Source organism: Homo sapiens, chromosome 6 (assembly GCF_000001405.40).
Source record: "Homo sapiens chromosome 6, GRCh38.p14 Primary Assembly".
NCBI lineage: Eukaryota > Metazoa > Chordata > Mammalia > Primates > Hominidae > Homo > Homo sapiens.
The window spans coordinates 57,144,024-57,163,224 of record NC_000006.12 but is presented as its reverse complement, the minus strand read 5'-3'; the positions used below and the strand labels follow the sequence as shown (position 1 = coordinate 57,163,224).

The window sequence follows — 19,201 nt, the reverse complement described above, 5'->3', positions numbered from 1 at the left end:
GAAAGGCACTGACCATACAACAGTGCCTACAAAAATGGCAATTCTATATGGTTCAACCTAAGAGATAAAATTCGAGTTAGCTCTTTTGGGGTGATGAGGAGGGGAAAAGAAGAAGGGTGTTAGAGAAAAGTGCAAAGGAGCCCATATTCCTTAACTTAAGTGAACCACCATATGCTTCTCACATTTATTTTATATAAAGCATCAGGATACAAAACACAAACACATTCCTTTGGTTTTTCTTGGAATTAAAGGATTTTATCCCCACCTCTATTTTAACTATGACAACTAGTTATAGGTTTAAAGTGTCTTCTCTTGAATCCTATAAAAATAATTATTTTTCCAAACCAAATAATCACAAAAATGTAACATCTCCACCTCCAAACCATAAAATGCATTACATAGATAATATGTGGTACATATCCAGTTACACAAATCTCAGATTTCCTAGGTTAGCTAGGAGCCCACAAAACTGTGATAGCTTATAATTATTTAAAAGTTATAATTTTGCCTGGCATTTTCCATGGGATGAGTCACGAGGTGTCAAATACAAGTTGCAAAATCTGAACTCTTTAGATGTTCAGTACTGTTTATCTTTTAGTGGCCTTGATAAACAACTTAATTGGCAGTTTTTGTTCAAAACGCACAAAAGTTCTTTCATTTGTTTAATTCATCATTATGTGGCTGCTAAGCGTTGAGCTAGACCTTGAAAGACCATGCTGGGAAAACAAGTTGGTCAAAACACTTGCTTCCTTCCAATTAGGTATAGATTTATGGCCAGTTTTGTTTAACCAATGAAATTTGGCTATAAGGCAGAAAGATTACAGCTATCTACTTAATCTAATGGATGAATCGATTCCACTGCCAGACTCCATTTCCCAAACTCCTAATAGCATAAAGTTCTAGTATGCTCTTAGTCAAACTAGTTGTATTATCTGAGATCAAGGAAATGCAAAGAAAACATACCAGTTGGGCCATTCTGTTTGTGTGTGTTTAGTCACATTTCCATCCCTACTTTCCAGCCTCCACATTCCTACCCTATAATCTCCAACAATAAACATTATACTGGAATGTACATGAAGACTCCTACTGTTTTTCTTTAATGTCAAAGATGCCGATATAACACTTTCAACTTCTCCAGTGAAGCTCAAAGTATTTTCTAAGATTCATTATCTCATTTCCCCCAGGTTATTAAAAAGTGCAGTCTGTTATAGAAAAACCAAAGTAAAGAATGGTTACAAGACACAACCAAATAATGGTACAGCCAGCAAATGATTTGATGCCAAGTGACATAAAAAGTTCTCTTTAACCTATGGAAGGAAATAGCTTTTCCTTTAAGAAGAGTAAAAGAGAATTTTAATTTTTAGCTGGGCGTGTTAGTGGCACACGCCTGTAATACCAGCTACTGTGGAGGCTGGGGCACAAGAATCACTTGAACCCAGGAGGCAGAGGTTGCAGTGAGCTGAGATTGTACCACTGCATTCCAGTCTGGGTGACAGAGTAAGACTCCGTCTCAAAAAAACAAAAAACAAACAAAAAAAACCCTTTTAAAATTTATTTTTAAAAGCCCATTTATATTTAGATATAAGTGCTTGCTTTTAGAGTTCTACTGCCTGTCTTTTAATACTCTTAATACTACTCAAGATAAGTAACAATTAGGAAATCAAAATCATCTCCTAGCCCAGGGGTTAGCAAACTTTTTAAAGGGTTAGAAAATAATTATTTGAGGGGGGCGGGGGTGGAGGGGCTCTACTGTCTGTGCCATACCTATTCAACCTTGCAGTTGTGGTACAAAAGCAATAGCATAGACAATACTTAAATGTATGGCTGTGTTCCTAAAGATAGTGGACTGGATTTGACCCAAGGGCCATAATTGGCTGACCCATTCTAGCTTTCTAAATTAGTATTACCCCTAAGTCATCTTACATGAAAAATGCAAAGCTATCCAAACTGAGAAAATGTTTTAACTTGGGGGTAGAAGGGAATAAGAGGGGTGAATGGGTGAGAGACAGAGAAATTTAAAAAAAAAATACAGATACAGTCAAGTAGAAAAGAGATTAACTCTATTAGGTTACCTTCTGTGGATATAAATTCTTCTCCTATTGAAGTATTTTTGGCACCCATGTTATCATCACTGTCACATTCTGTAAAGAAGAATCAATACATGCAGTTATTGTGCCATAAATTTATGTATTCTCAATATTATTTTCAATAACTGCTCATACCCAAGCTTACTCATTATAATACAGTTCATTAGTGTTACACTACTTTCCCACACTAGGTTTTTTCCAGTGCTTGCCAAATAATATTAAAAATGGTGACATTAAATTCTCCTGTTTTGAAAATCATATGCATTCATCTCTATGGAGATAACACCATAGGTTTTCATTAACAATGCCTCTTGCATAGCACAAACTTACTTACCTGATGTCTTACGTGCTTTCATAATAAGAGACCGAAGGCTTTATAATACGGTATGACTGAAAAGGCACTGCAAAACTCACTTAAAATTTGAACCATGGAGCCTAAGGAGATTAATGTCTAAATGTCATGTGGGATCCCAAGAGGTCCTGGGGTAGAAAAAGGATATTGAGGCCAGGCGTGGTTGTTCACACCTGTAATTCCAGCACTTTGGGAGGCCGAAGTGGGTGGATCACCTGAGCTCAGGAGTTCGAGACCAGCCTGGGCAACACAGCAAAACCCTGTCTCTACCAAAAATACAAAAAATTAGCCAGGTATGGTGGTGCGCACCTATAGTCCCAGCTACTTGGGAGGCTGAGGTAGGAAGATCGCTTGAACCTGGGAGGTGGAGGTTGCAGTGAGCTGAGATCACGCCACTGCATTCCAACCTGAGTGACAAGAGTGGGACCCTGTCTCAAATGAAATGAGACGAGACGAGACGAGAAAAGAAAAGAAAAGACAGGGGAGGGGAGGGGAGGGGAGAAAACAAAAGAAAAAGGACATTGGGGAAAACTAAAGGCTGGAATTAGTAATAATGTCCTAATATTGTTCCGTGAATTATGACAAATGTATCACTCTAACATAAGATGTTACTAATAAGGGAAACTAAGTATGGGTACATGGAAACACTCTGTACTATCTTCACAACTTTTTTGTAAATCTAAAACCATACTGAAAAATAAAGTTCACCTTTAAAAAATTTGAAACATTGTACTATCAATGACCTAATATTGTGCTTATCACTTTAACTACATTTAAATCAATATATATTTATATCAAGACATAATTATACAAATATAAACAGATATGCATCTATATATGATATATATGTCAGTGACTTGAATCAGCACCTAACTAAATACAAATCATATAGACATATTTGTTTCTGTGCAAACTTAAAAACTTAAAATATACATTAAAAAGCCCTTTAGGGGTCTATAAATAAAAATTAAATCACTATATTTCACTATATTCTTTTGCTGCAGAAATTTGTTTTTACAAGTCATCTTTGCTATTAATTCCAGCAAAATACTTCAAATATTTCAAGCAGTGTTTTAGGTAAATAAAACATTACATTTACAAATTAAAGAACAAAATTAAACCTCTAAACCAGGGGTGTCCAATCTTTGGCTCGCCTGGGCCACATTGGAAGAAGACTGTCTTGGGCCACACATAAAATACACTAACGCTAATGATAGCCCATGAGCAAAATAAGAAAACGCAAAAAAAAAAAAAAAAAAACTCTTATAATGTTTTAAGAAAGTTTACAAATTTGTGTTGGGCTACATTCAAAGCTGAACTGGGCCACATGTGGCCCGTGGGCCACAGGTTAGACAAGCTTGCTCTAAACATTAAGAACAAAAGGAAAATACCCACAGCTTTCTGTTATTACAATTTAAAGTCAAGATCAGTCAAAAGCAGCATGTTATAACTCATCCAAACAATTCATCATTGCATGCAAGGCCTAAGGCTACACTACAGGTTTGAATAATGACAAATCCTTGATTTGTCAAGGATTAACTTGACATGGGGTTGCAAATATTAATATCATAAAAGGTTTCTTTTGCCTCCATCAACCCCATCAGAAGAACAGAGAAAATCGTAAATATTCTTTCTTATTTTCAGTACCTTTGCATGGAATTAATTTTATCAACATATTTTTATAATGGTGCCCAAAGAAACAACCTATAGTTTTCATTAACAGGCTGAGGAAACAACAGGCAGACAGACTTTAAGAAATAAGTTCAACAATTATTTTAGGTAATGCCTAGTCCACAGGCCATGATGCTGCTTCAATCATCTACACTTCCATAGCACCTAGGTGAATGTTTATGCTCTATATGTAAGATGGATTTAAAAATCTGTGTAATTGGTATGACTCATAGATGCCAACCCTACTTACTGCTTCTAACCCACTCATCCACAATGAAGCCACAACTAAATGGATATGACAGTCTCAGGCTTATAAACAAGACCATCTAAGGAGCATACAGATTCAACAAAAATTATCTTGTAGTAACATCTTTTTCATTACATGTAATTCTCAAGGGAGCAGATACTGGCCCAAATAAGAAAACACTGAAAATACTAACTTCTGTGTGCCCTGGAACATTTATATCGATTAAGTGAAAGGTAGAGGAAGCAATGGGAGGCAGGTTTCTAGTGAATTTCTTTGAAACCACATGTTGCAGTACTCCAATAAGCTCACTGCAGTGCTTGTAGTTCTAGTGCCAACATCTCGAGGAGCCTGTAAAGATGGTGTTTATTCATTTAATTATGAGACAAAAGATCCTAAAGAAATTAGAATGCTAATTGCTTTCCTTGGCTATATTCAGCATATAATCACTTTACTTTTTAAAGCACCAGAACTCACAACCAAATCATTTCTTCTGACAAAAAAAAAAAAGCGCATTCTTCCTGAATGTTATTTAAAAATAAAAAACTTGTTTGATATCTTTATATAAACTCTGCAATGTCCCTATACTGTGGCAGAATATTTCCCATTATCTTCATTCTTCAAGGACATGGTTAAAGCCAGTAATTCACACTGGGTGGCTAGCTCTACATCATGGAATCAGGTATTTGTGTCAGTGAAAGTCTCAACCACAGTCGTTGATACTAATGAAAAGCAAAGCACTTGCTCTGTGACTGCAGGTAGATTATTTAACCTTTCTGAACCTGTGCTTCCTTCCACACTTATAAAATGGGGTAATCCAACACCTACTTCGTAGCTTGCAAAGGGGATTAAAAAGCATATGGAAGAAGTTCTTTCAACATATTTAAACATCTGTAAACACTACAAACATAAAAAGCAGTTAACATGGTGGCTGGCACATAGTAGTCTTCAATAAACTACAATAAACTTCAATAAACTTTTTTCAATTAAAAAGTTCACCTTTTTTTTCTTTCAACATTTAAGTGACAAGTTATATCTGCATCTCTGAAACATGAGGCTTGAGTTAGAATAATGAAGTATTTGGGAATAAAATATAAATGGTCTAAGAAAGTCTACCTGGCTTCTCTGATTGGGATTACCAGAAAGGATCCATGTATCTTAAGTGTTAAGAAAGTGAGGATAAGTACAATATAAAATAGAAATGATGAAGGATAAGAAGACCAAGGTGGGGGCAGAAATTAAAGTTAATAGACTTTTTAAATGTCTCTACAAGAATTTATACATATATCATAGCGTAATTAAAATGCTCATGTTGAAACCCTGATGCTTACAAGTAGAGAAAAGAACTTTTACCCTAACTAACCAAGTCAGAGACCTAAAAATGTACCAGTAATAAAGCTACTTAACCTTTCCCCTCCCCACCATGCTAAAACAATGCCTTAGGAACAAATGACTGGACACCGATATACAGAACCAGGAACTCCAAATATCTGTATTTTTACTGAAATAAGTACCTCTGGAAAGACTTTCAATTAACAGAGAAATTAGCAAAGACTAATTTCTCCTAGTATGATACCATATGATCGATTCTGATAACAATATTCAAAAGATCCTTCCTATTTATACAGCAATCTTTAGTCTAATAAAAACCACTTTTTAGTCCTGCTGATGGTAAATTTCTGAAAACTTATAAAGAATAAGAGACTCAAACTTGTATCAACTTCTCTATGCTCTGGTGAAAAATTCAAAAATCTGAAAAATCACTAGCCTGGCTATATAATAACAAATATGAAAGAACTTATCACTGTATGTTACTTATAGCAGGAGTCCCCAACCCCAGGGCCATGGACCAGTACCAGTCTGTGGCCTGTTAAGAACTGGGCCGCACAGCAGGAGGTGAGCAGCAGGTGAGCCAGCATTACCACCTAAGCTCCTCCTCCTGTCAGATCAGCAGCGGCATTAGATTCTCATAGGAGCACAAACCCTATTGTGAACTGCACGTACAAGGGATCTAGGTTGTACGCTCCTTATGAGAATCTAATGCCCCACCTCCTGCCCCCAATCCATGGAAAAATTGTCTTCCATGAAACCAGTCCCTGGTGCCAAAATGGTTGGGGACTGTTGACTTATAGTATAAACTTAGGTTACATCCCAAAGGACAATTTTGTTTGTTGATTGGCATCTAGAAGCGTTGAGACCACAAATCCCTTGAAATTGTATGCAATGTAGTACATACATGTTTATTTTGGGGGATGGAGGGTATAGAAAGTTTTCATCAGATTCTCAAAAAGGTCCAGTGACCCCTTCACCCCAAAAACCACATTGCCTTAAGAAACTGACTGGCTGTCAAATCTGAAAACAAGAAGGAACACCATGTTTAGCTATGTGCAAGGAGTTATCTGGCATTCTTTAGTAACAAAAATTATATTATTAATGGACATTGAGAGATTTATTGAGTCCCATTATACATTAAATACCATTCCTTAATAGAAACTATTACTCAACTATTCACAAAGCTATTTGTTAGGAAAGGAAATGGAATAAAAGTTATCCAAGAAAATGATTTTTCTTTGATTCCTTATAAAGTTCACTACAGGAAATTTGATGGTTTTAAGTCTTCCATGAAGAAAAAATTTGGTCTTAAATCAGATAACTAAGCCTGAACATACTATGATTCAGTGTAACATTAAAAATGTAGTGGCTAGGAATCACATTTTCTTTTTATGGTAGTAATAATAAAAAATAGCTATTATTTGTTAAATAGCTAAAGTGCTTTATATACTGTGCTAGACACTTTACATACATCACTAACTATTACAACCATATAAATACAAAAAAATGAGGCTCCAAAAAAGTTAAGTAACATGCCTGAAATCGCGCTGCTAGGAAACAGCAAAGTTAGCATTTGAACCAAAGCCCATATCCTTCTTCATGCAGTGCACAATCTCTGTATGTCACAAAAACTAAGAATAAAGTACACATGTGCCTCCAGAGAGTAGTTAGTTCAAATGAGTACTGAGTATGAGTGATTAAAAAAAAAAAAAAAAAAAAAGAATACCTAGAACATAAGAGTCATTTGGAAGGGCATAATCAGCAGATATTAATAACCTGTATCTTACCTCCAACTGTAATATACCCATGCAAGTCTACTCGTATTCACCTCTCATTCCAAACAGAATATGGTTTTGCCTCTGCAAAACCATAACAGGTTTCACATTTGGAGTTATAAAAGAAATGTTCCCAAAAGCAGAAGCATAAGAGAAGGAAAGGGAGGTTGGCCTTGTGCGGCAAAGGTAAAACTTTATCTTATAGGATATTAAGTAGATGTTGAGAACTGGGAAAGCGATGGCAAAAGAGTAGAAGAGGTGTTTTGCTTTTTGTTTGAGACGAAGTTTTTGGTCTTATTGCCCAGGCTGGAGCGCAATGGTGCAATCTCAGCTCACTGCAACCTCCGCCTCCTGGGTTCAAGCGATTCTCCTGCCTCAGCCTCCCGAGTAGCTGGGATTACAGGCAACCGCCACCATGCCCAGCTAATTTTTGTATATTTAGTAGAGATGGGTTTTCACCATGTTGACCAGGCTGGTCTTGAACTTCTGACCTCAGGTGATCCACCCACCTCAGCCTCCCAAAGTGCTGGGATTACAGGTGTGAGCCACTGCACCCAGCCTGTTTTTTTTGTTTTTTTGTTTTTTGTTTTAAGAAAAAAGAAAGCCACAGATAGAAAAACAAGTGAAAACAAAAATTACAGAATAGGAAGATAATACTCAGAACTAAGGCATGACATAAAGACACAAGAGTTCATTTTCTTTTATAATCTTCCATCATTACTCCACTTTAAAGAGTATAAAGAGCACAGATTACTGATTCCTAACTTTGCAGAAGTGAATTGATCCACTGTAATCAGTGATTACAGCAAAATTCTCCAGAATGAGTTTTCAATCAAAATGTGCTTCCAAATATATTGAAAGAAAAAAAAAATCTAGGAGGCAAGCAGACTTGAAAGCTTTAAAGGCACACAATAAAAATGCCAAAAAGCCACTATTTTTCATTAAGGTAATTCATTAATATCTTCAAACCTTATTCATGAATTTAAATTATTAGGATATTTAAACATTAATTATTCTATCCATATTTCTTTACTTCAGAGATTATGAAAAAGGGGGTTATAACTCAGTGGTAGAGCATTTGACTGCAGAAATTATGAAAAACGAAAAACAAAACTTCTGAATCCTTAGAATTACATCTTTTCTTATATACTAGGAAGTGAAATTGGGTATCAGCACTCCTTTCATTGAACAATCTCACAAAGGTACAGAAGAAAGTGCAAGTCCCAGCAATAAGATAGGATGTACCCACTTCTCTAAGGACCTAAAAGCCTATCAGCGTTTTATTTTGTCACTGTCAACCTCTTAAATGATCACCTTTGTTATTGCTTTCTGGTTTTCACCTCTAAGCGCACTGCTTTCTAAAAAACTGAAGGTCAACTTGGAATTTCAGAAACAAAGTGAAGATCTGAATTCTGAGCTTTTAAAATTGTAGTAACATACTGTAACACATGAATATATGTTTTATATACATCAATATAGATTTTATCTACTAGATCAAAAAAAGCTCCAGAAAATTATTATGAATTCATCCTCCTTCTAAAACACTAAAGAATGAAAGTGAGATTTTTTTAAAAAAGATAAGTAAGATAGAAGTAAGAGAACATGATGGTTTAGCAAGCAGGCAACAGTTCACTAGCGGACAGCAGTTTATTGGTTTCTCTCAGCAGTGAAGTCTCCTCCTCTTGGGTGGTTTGCACTGTGACTGCAGCTGCGTACCTTTGGTGGTATCAGATATGCTATTTAACAAGGCACACATCATATCTCCCTCTAAGTGGTGAGGGTTTAGTATATGAGCTGGCCTCTGAGTCTTCTTAAATTGATTCTCTAGCTCCAGAAAACCTTGATCTCCTGAGAGGATGGTGAAAGGAATTTGCTTGGGTAGTTGTTCATCTAGACGGCCAGCCTAAGTTAGAACAAATGGCACAGGTTGATAAAAAATCAGCATGAGTTTCAAAACAAGTTACATCTATTTCAGAATGAACACATGCCTAGGAAGGTATATTAAGCTTGTTCCCTAGTCCCTACCAAAGTATGACATAAAGATCTCCTTCAGCTGGGTGCAGTGGCTCACGCCTGTAATCCCAACACTTTGGGAGGCTAAAGCAGGTGGATCGCTTGAGGTCAGGAGTTCGAGACCAGCCCGGCCAACATGGTGAAACGCGGTCTCTATTAAAAAATGCAAAAATTAGCTGGGTGTGGTGGCATGCGCTTGTAATCCCAACTACTCGGGATTCTCCAGGCTGAGGCTGGAGAATCACTTGAACTCGGGAGGCAGAAGTTGCAGCCAAGATCGCGCCACTGCACTCCAGCCTGGGCGACAGAGTGACACTCCGTCTCAAAAAGGAAAAAAAAAAAAAGAGAGAAAGAAAGAACTCGTTCATAAATGAAATACCCCACATTTAATCAAATATAAGATGCCATTAAATTATATAAGCTATTTAATGTGCCATGAAAAGAAAAAGCCAAAATGGAAGTCCAACAGACCTCACATAAGGTTGAAATGCCAAAGGGCTATACGCTCAATATAAGGGTAAATAAGAAATAAATCTGCCATAGAGAAAAGGTAAGCAAGGCAATTTGCATGATTCAATCTTGGCATTAGATAGACTGAAAAAGAAATCTTTTGTTGTTTAAACCATAAGCTGCAGTCAACAAGTTTGCAGAGTAAATTCACATTATCAGTGTGACATGTAAGTCCCCAAGCAGAAAATTTAAAGTGGGTCTCAGTTTGGCAGTTTCTCTAGGTACCCAGCAGAGACAGAAGCAAATGCAAATTCTGTCTAGGCCAACAGTGATTGTTAAGGTACCTCTTAATTTTAGAGATATTAAAATATGAAAGTGTCTTAATATATATCAAATACAGTATCATCAGCAGGGCGCAGTGGCTCACACCTGTAATCCCAGCACTTTGGGAGGCCTAGGCGGGCAGATCACTTGAGGCCAGGAGTTTGAGACCAGCCTGGCTAACATGGAGAAACCCCGTCTCTACTAAAAATACAAGTATTAGCTGGGCATGGTGGTATGCTCCTGTAGTCCCAGCTACTTGGGAGGCTGAGGCACAAGAACCATTTCAGCCCAGGGGGCTGAGGTTGCAGTGAGCCGAGACTGCGCCACTGCACTCCAGCCTGGGTGACAGAGCGAGACTGTCTCAAAAACAAACCCAAAAAACAGTATCAGCTCTTGATCATTTATCCCACAAATAGTTGAGGGTCTACTATGGATAGCTGAAGGTTTGCTAGAAGTTGAGGATAAAGCAATAAAAATATGCTATGGGGTCCTGCCTTCATAATAGTCATAGGTAGAACCTGAAGTACTGAAGAATGATCTATAAGTCTCATTACAATTCAAGTGGGGAAAAAAATGCAAGTGGGTCTGAGATTCACATTAGATTTTGAATAAAACAATGACTCACATGCATACATATGGCAAAATCAGCAGCATCTTTTCTTTTACTACAGCGAGGATGAAGGAAGAAGCATCCAATCCTGTTCAGGTAGTTATAAATCTTACAGTTGAGCGGAGGCTTCCAATTGGTGTTTCCTCCTATTAATTTTAGAAAAGGCAAAAATGATAATCAAACAGGAGAGGAAAGGCCAAAAATTTTATCAAGAAAAAACACATACTAGAAAAAAATTTTTCTAGAGGCAAAGTACTAGATCAGAATGTGGAAGAACTCCATCCTAGCATAAGCATCAACATCTTGTTGCTTTAAAGTCTTGAGAAAGTGGACCAACTTCCCTGAATCTGTCAACTCATCTTAAAACTCACATGGATATTAGGCAAAATCAAAAGCAATGTGTGTAAAAATTCTTTGAATGGCATTATTCTATAAGTGTAAGCATAAGTGGTTTTTACAGATGTCACCACCGTTCAATGCAGAAATGATGGGCAATCACCAAAGCTCAACTTACTAAAGCAATTATACTGGCTAACTTATCCAGGTCAGTATGTTTCTATCTTTAATCCCAATCTTTCTCTTTACATGCTATTTCCTATCAAACACAAACAATAGCAGATTCTCTGTAAACCAAAGAAGCCTCTCCCCCAAGTTTGGTCAACAATTTGTAAAGAGGTTTAGATGAAGCTGAACACTTAAGAACAGCAAGGATGAACCGAAGAGGCAGTTATGGCATGTTGAAAATAACATTAGTCCTATAGCTGAGAGGCCAAATAATTCTGCTATTTATTAGTTTTAAAACTTTGAGGGAAAAAAAACAAAAACAAAAACAAAACATCTGCTTCTTTGTATTTTAAAAGGGATAAAACCATAATAATCAGTAACCATGTTAGTACAAAGCCAAAGCACCTGACACATTTTAGGTGTTGAATAAAGGCTTTTTCAATCTGTATCAAAAGATCCATAAACTTTTTTTTTTTTTTTTTTTTTTTTTTAAGACAGAGTCTCACTCTGTTGCCCAGGCTGGAGAGCAGTGGTGCGATCTCAGCTCACTGCAAGCTTCGCCTCCTGGGTTCACACCATTCTCCTGCCTCAGCCTCCCAAGGAGCTGGGACTACAGGGGCCCGCCACCACGCCCAGCTAATTTTTTGTATTTTTTTTTTCTTTTTAGTAGAGACGGGGTTTCACCATGTTAGCCAGGATGGTCTCGATCTTCTGACCTCGTGATCCGTCCGCCTCAGCCTTCCAAAGTTCTGGGATTACAGACGTGAGCCACCGCGCCCGGCCAAAAGATCCATAAACTTTGAGTCACCAGATAGAGCTAACATTTACCACAGAGGCATGTAAAGAAAACGATTCTAGCAGAGTAACTATAATACAAAAGAACAATATTCCAATTATGTTCCTATGTTCTATCCAGGAAGGTTTAAGAGGAGCCTTTTAAACTGAACTATATTCTAAGAGGTGGGAAAAAGTTTTCTTTTGTTTTTCTTATTAACCGTACCTTGAAAGCCCCAAATAAATGTTCCTTGGTTTAGATGCCCTGGTAGATGACCAAAAAAGTTTGACCAGTTATCAAAATCTACAAAGACTATATGAGTCATGGTTCGCAGGTAATCCAAATCTGGAAGCTCAACAATTTCTTCCTCTGAGAAGAGAGAAATATCAACATGAGTTCAGTAAGAATTTGCTAAAATCATTCTGATTTCAAGTCCAAAAAGTATTAGAAGCCTAATATGCAAAAATACTAACCTTGAATGTTACTCATTTCTATCTAAACCTTTTTGTGAAATCCAAATCTGTACATGACACCATTTACACTTAAATCAGATAAAAATAATCTGAACATTTCACCAATTTTGGTTATATATCCTTCTTGCAAACATTTTCTTCCAACAACTCTAAAGCTTGTTAAAAAGTCACTTATACAAGGAATTTTTTTAAAAAATTAATGTACTAGAAGAACTAGAAAACCAAGTTTTAAGGTTAAATAAGCAAAAACTAATACCACCCATATAAAATTCCAAGGTTACCTATTAAGAACATTTTCACCACCAGAATTTGGTTCTTTTCCCAGTCTGGACTGATTTATTAGTAGCCCTCTAGTTCTAGGATTAAACACCCTAGAGAGCAGAAATAAGATAACCTAGAATCCTGCTGCCATAAAGCAGTGCTAGAAATATGTGCCAGTGGTACAGAGACACCTCCCCCTATAAACACATCTTCTTGGTTCTCTCAGATTCTTCTTTCACCTTCCCCCATGCCCCAACTCTCATTCTCCCTCCCCTTTATCTTGTTTCATACTTTTCCACTTTGACAAGGCCTTAAAGTTTCCTGTGGTAACAATGCAAACTTTAAAATGTTATATTATTTAAAAAATGAATAGTTTCTATTCTAATAGTTCCTTCAAATATACTACTGCCATTCCCTTCCATTTCCAAGCCACCTTACGTCTTTTCTCTAACTTCTCGGTAATTCTAGATTTAGGTATTGCATTTTCTATCAAACACAGACTAACACAAATTCCAAAAAAAAAGTAAACAGAAGCGCAAAAGAAAGGCCTAACATAAAATGGTGTAACCAGTGTTTCACTGTTTAGAGTTGACTAGGTAGCTCATGATTTAATTCTTTACCACTGAAAACATGCCATGACTAAAGGTGATGTTGAAATCTACATATGGTATAGAGCAAGACTCTAAAAATTCAATAGTTCATAAAAATACATTACTGGCCAAAATTTTCACATATTCTCACTGTACCCAAATATGCTACATTGTATAACTCACCAAGAATTAGTATTTATTTAAAAGAATATAGACTTAAGTCAGGTGTGGTGGCTCACACCTGTAATCCCAACACTTGGGGAGGCTAAAACAGGAGGATTGCTTAAGGCCAGGAGTTCAAAACCAGCCTGGGCAACATAGTAAAATCCCATCTCAAAAAAATTTTACAAATAAAAGAAGATACACTTAAAATTATACTCTAAACAAAAACAAATTATACTTCTAAACAAAACAAATTATACTTCTAAACAAAATAAAAACATAACACCTGCCTAGACTTACTTAATCCTATCATATGGAAGAAAGAAAGTCTGGAGTAAGTACAAACAAGGAATTCATATTTCAATTTTCCCCCTGGTTTCCTGCTACCACTTTAACTCTACTTCTAATTGCTATTTTAATTGTATGTTAAAGCTTTTCTTCCAAGTTAATCATAACAAAAATATACAAATGCTGAAATGACCTTTAAAATGTCTCACACTAAAGAATATGGCCAAATAGAAACAAAAAGAATTCACGTGATTTATCTTTTTAGTTAACCCAAATATTACAAGAAAAATCTAAATGATATTAATACTAGGATAACTTTGAAATCTAACTTTCAGAAAAACTATCAACTTCCTTCATCTTCAAAATCTCCACACCTTTTGTAAAATAAAATGATATCTAAAATATATATTATTTAAAGCCAACATATACTCTGTCCTCGTAAGTTTAGAAAGTGGATAAATGTAGTAGTAGGAATACAAACCCCTAAAATGTATATACCATAATAATTAACATACCATCAAGAAGTTACCCTGTTTCTTGCTTCAAAATTGAATCGAGGTGGGTACATTGTAAGTTTCAATATCAGTATATGAAATTTGCATAGAGCTATAAAGCCATACCTATATTCTGATAGCTTAGGTCATTCTCAACTCCTTTCTCCATGTCTAAACTTTTTGAATAGTTTATTGCCTGTTTCAGTTTTCTCTCTGTATGTGAGGCACTAGCAGTAAACTTGTACAGGTTTGATTTTTCAGATCCAAAATGAGCCACACTGGGTTTCTGTAAGAAGCAATGTTTTCTATGGAAATGCTGCTGTGCACTCTCAGGATCATGAAATGCTTTGGTGCAGGTGCCACACTTGATTACATACTGCTGCTCCTCCTCATCACTCTTTTCTTTGTGCACTTGATGGATATGAGTGTTCATGTCGGTTAAATTCTGTGCTGTTGCCGAACATAAACTGCAGCGAAACCACAGTTTTCCTTTATCCAGCATGATTTGGAGACATCTGCTATAATCTTCTTTTCTGTTGACTTTACAGATGTAACTCTCACGGCAACCACAAGTTAACTGGTTACTGGTCTCTATTACTGGAAAATCATCTTCGGTTTTAATTGAAGTTTCAGTTTTTTCTGACACAAATACATAATCTATGCTGTGGTGCTCCTCATAATGACTCAGAAATGCTTCTTCCACATTAAAGATAAGATCACAAAGCCCACAGAAGTATTTAATCTTTATCTCATTGTCATGCTCATCTTGGCAATGTCGGTACAATGTTTCTATCTTATGAAAAGGCTTTCTGCAGTGAGCACAGCTGTATCTATGAAACTTGTGGCTTGCCAAAGACATGCAGTGCTGTTTTACATATTCCTGGGAATCAAACATATCTTCACAAATCCGGCATTGCCATTTACCCCTCGGAGAACTATTTGCCGGGGAATGATCAATAACAGTAATAGCTGATGAAGGCTTGTTAGCAGTCAAATTATCCAATGTTGTAGAGGATGATGGCAAAGTTTCACCTTCTACCTCATCCATCTCATAAAAATATCTGTGTCCATTATGAAATTCAGTCACATGTGCCATGATAGTATCTTTCCTTGTTAACTCCTTTTTGCATGTCCGACACCAGAAAAGAAAGTTATTTAAATGTGCCCCTCCGTGAATCCGGCTCATGTGTAAACGAATGACCCCTGAATCATCACATACCTTTCCACAGACCACACATTTATAACCCATTGTGTTTGCTGAGAAAACATGCTTTTCTACTGCATCTTCACTTGGGAATCGCTGATTGCATTCACAGAACCAGGTTTTAACTACTGATTTTTCTTTCTGGACACAAGCAACACCTTCATGGCTTTTATCTTTTAAATTCATCTTCTTTTTTGGAATGGCAATGCACTCCAGTGAGCTAGATTCTTTAATAGACATGGTTCTTTTAAGTGATGAAAATTTTGATTGATCCAACAATAAATGCAAGTCAGAAGAAGGATCCTTGTTCCCTTCGCTGCTGTGGCAATAGAGTAAGACTGATTCTTCCACTGAGTTAATGACTCGGACTTTGTGTCCTGAATTCTGCTTATGATTTTGGGTGCTGGTTTCATCCACAAAGACTTGATTGCAATCTGGACAATAACCTCTTAATATGAATTTCTCTGCAACCTGGGTAATGCTCTTCTCAGCTACAGCTACAGGTCCAGCATTTCGACAATGAACTCTAAATTAGATAAAAAGAAATAGAAAGTCTTTCAGAAGTATTTTCTAAATATACCATTGCTGCATTTTATTGCAGGAATTATAAAATAACCAACGTATAAATAAGCACTAAAAGATACTTTTCAATAAAGATGCAAATGACATAATGATGTTCTATCATCTCAAAATACTTGAGTATTATCTGCACTTTATCTATTTCTAGTTAAAATACAAAAGGCTAAAACTAGATTCAAAATTTTTTAAATTCAGGCAAATTTTAGAAAACTAAAATCTGTATCAAAAGCACTGACAGAGGACCTTATTGAACAGGCAAATTATTAGACTCTCCATGGTAATTAAACTGTATGTAAGAACACTATGGTTAAGATTCTAGACAACCCAGTTCCTATTCTTTAATAACTGATTAATGTTGATACTATAAGGCTATGGTAACCAAAACAACATGTACTGGTATAAAAACAGACACACAGATCAATGGAACAGAATAGAGAACCCAGCAATAAAGCCACATACCTACAAACTACTGATCTTTGATGAAATTGACAAAAATAGACACTGGGGAAAGGACACCCTATTTAATAAATGGTGCTGATAAAACTTGACAGCCATATGCAGAAGAATAAAACTGAACCCATATCTTTCATCATATACAAAAAATAACTCAAGATGGATTAAAGGCTAAGACCTGAAACTATAAAAATTCTAGAAGAAAACCTAGGAAAACCCCTTCCGGACAATGGCCTAGGCAAAAAATTTATGACTAAGTCCTCAAAAGCAAATGCAACAAAGCCCTAAAATAGACAAATGGGACTTAAAAGCTTAAGCATAGCAAAAGAAATAATCAAGAGAATAAACAGACAACTTACAGAATGGGAGAAAATATCTGCAAACTATGCATCTGACAAAGGACTAATATTCAGAATCTACTAGGAACTTAACAAGAAAAAAATCCACAAATAATCCCATTAAGAAGTGGGCAAAGGACATGAACAGACATTTTTCAAAAGAAGACATACAACTGGCCCATAAATACTCAACATTACTAATCATCAGAGAACTTCAAATTAAAACAATGCGATACCATCTTACACCAGTCAAAATGGCTGTTATTAAAAAGTCAAAAAACAACTGATGTTGGCAAGGATACAGAGAAAAGGGAACACTTATACACTGTTGATGGAAATGTAAATTAGTACAACCTCTATGGAAAACAATATGGAGCTTTCTTAAAAAACTAAAAATAGAACCGCCCTTTGATCCAGCAGTCCCACTACTGGTATCTACCTTAAGAAAAAGTAAGCATTATATCAAAAAGACACCTACACTTGTACATTTACCGCAGCACTATTGACAATAGCGATAATGAATGGAATCAACCTAAGTGTCCATCAATGGATTATTGAATAAAGAAAATATGGTATATATACCATGGAATACTACTGAGTCATAAAAAAGAATGAAATCATGCCTTTTGAAGCAACATGTATGGAACTGGAGGCCATTATCCTAAGTGAAATAACTCAGAATGTCAAATACTGCAAATTTTCATTTCTAAGTGGGAGTTAAACAATGGGTACACGTGGACATATAGAGTGGAATAATAAACAGATATTGAAAACTCCAAAAGGTGGGAGGTTGGGAAATGGGTGAGGGTTGGAAAATAACCTATTGGGTACAATGTTCACTATTTGGATGATAGTGACATTAAAAGCCCAGATATCTGAGCTTCACAATATACCCATGTAACAAAACTGCACTCGTACCCCCTGAATCTATAAGAAATAAAAATAAAGAACTGATTAATTTTATGTCAGACAAATGTCATGCCCCTAGTTGCTTTTGCACTGAAGAACTAGGCTCAATAAAACCACATACTATTCCACAAATTAACTCAAAATAAATCAACTTCCCTAGGAAAATAAAAAAATAGAACAACTGTGTCTTCACTACTAAACTCCAGAGAGAACAGACCTGCTACCATTTTATACATTTAATATATTTCAAAAGAAAAAAACTGTACAAAATATGTTCTCTAATTATTGTGGAATTAAATTGGAAACAAAAAATAATACAAATCCCTAAATGTTTATAAATTAAATACCTAAATGTAACATCTATAAACCTTTAGAAGTTAAGCCACACATATCTTTTTTGTGTGTTTGGAGACAGAAAATCCTTCTGTCACCCAGGCTGGAGTGCAGTGGCACAATCTTGGATCACTGCAACCTCTGCCTCCCAGGTTCAAGCGATTCTCTTGCCTCAGCCACCAAGTAGCTGGGATTACAGGCGCTCACCACCACACCCGGTTAATTTTTTGTATTTTTAGTAGAGATGGGGTTTCGCCATGTTAGCCAGGCTGGTCTCGAACTCCTGAGCTCAGGCAATCCACCTGCCTAAGCCTCCCAAAGTGTTAGGATTACAGGTGTGAGCCACCACGCCCAGCCAAGCAACACATTTCTAATAAACCTATAGGTCAAACAATAAATCAAAAGGGCAAAGATAACATTTTTCCAAAACATTTTTAAACAGCTTTATTGAGATATAATTCACGGCTAGGCGCGGTGGCACATGCCTGTAATCCCAGCACTTTGGGAGGCTGAGGCGGACAGATCACTTGAGGTCAGGAGTTCAAGACCATCCTGGCCAACATGGTGAAACCCCGTCTCTACAAAAAATACAAAACTCAGCCAGGTATGGTGGCACACACCTATAGTCCCAGGTACTTGGGAGGCTGAGGCACGAGAATCACTTGAACTTGGGAGGTGGAGGTTGCAGTGAGCCGAGATTGCACCATTGCACTCCAGCCTAGGTGACAGACAGAGACCCTATCTTTAAAAAAAAAAAAAAAAAAAAAAAGGATATAATTCATAATTCATATACCATATAATTCATCCATTTAGGGTATATAATTTCAACTATTTTTCACATAAAGATATGTGCAACCATCAATAGTTAATTTTAGAACATTGTGTTATGTCAAAAAGAAAACCCATGCCCTTTAGCTATCACCTCCCCACCTCCCTTTTCGCCATGCTCCCCAACTCCAAGCAACCACTGAACCCTAAGC

General features: G+C 36.5%; 1 protein-coding gene and 1 long non-coding RNA gene across 8 annotated transcripts in view; one reads left to right on the top strand and one right to left on the bottom strand.

Moving 5' to 3' along the window:
* ZNF451 (zinc finger protein 451) overlaps window positions 1–19,201 on the bottom strand; it is an 80,118-nt gene that overhangs the window by 7,081 nt on the left and 53,836 nt on the right. For 3 of the 7 annotated variants that reach the window (NM_001031623.3, XM_011514460.3, XM_011514461.3), the window contains 5 exons: window positions 14,532–16,135; window positions 12,363–12,506; window positions 10,874–11,004; window positions 9,178–9,364; window positions 2,073–2,141 (listed from right to left, as the gene is read on the bottom strand). In NM_001031623.3, the coding sequence (NP_001026794.1) occupies window positions 2,073–2,141; window positions 9,178–9,364; window positions 10,874–11,004; window positions 12,363–12,506; window positions 14,532–16,135 (2,135 nt within the window). Of the gene's footprint in view, window positions 1–2,072; window positions 2,142–4,550; window positions 4,706–9,177; window positions 9,365–10,873; window positions 11,005–12,002; window positions 12,229–12,362; window positions 12,507–14,531; window positions 16,136–19,201 lie in introns of those variants that run through there. The other 4 variants (NM_015555.3, XM_047418624.1, XR_007059234.1 and 1 more) reach the window with 3 other exon arrangements.
* The window catches only part of ZNF451-AS1 (ZNF451 regulatory antisense RNA 1), a 57,303-nt gene that overhangs the window by 8,989 nt on the left and 29,113 nt on the right, over window positions 1–19,201 (top strand). The window lies entirely within an intron of this gene.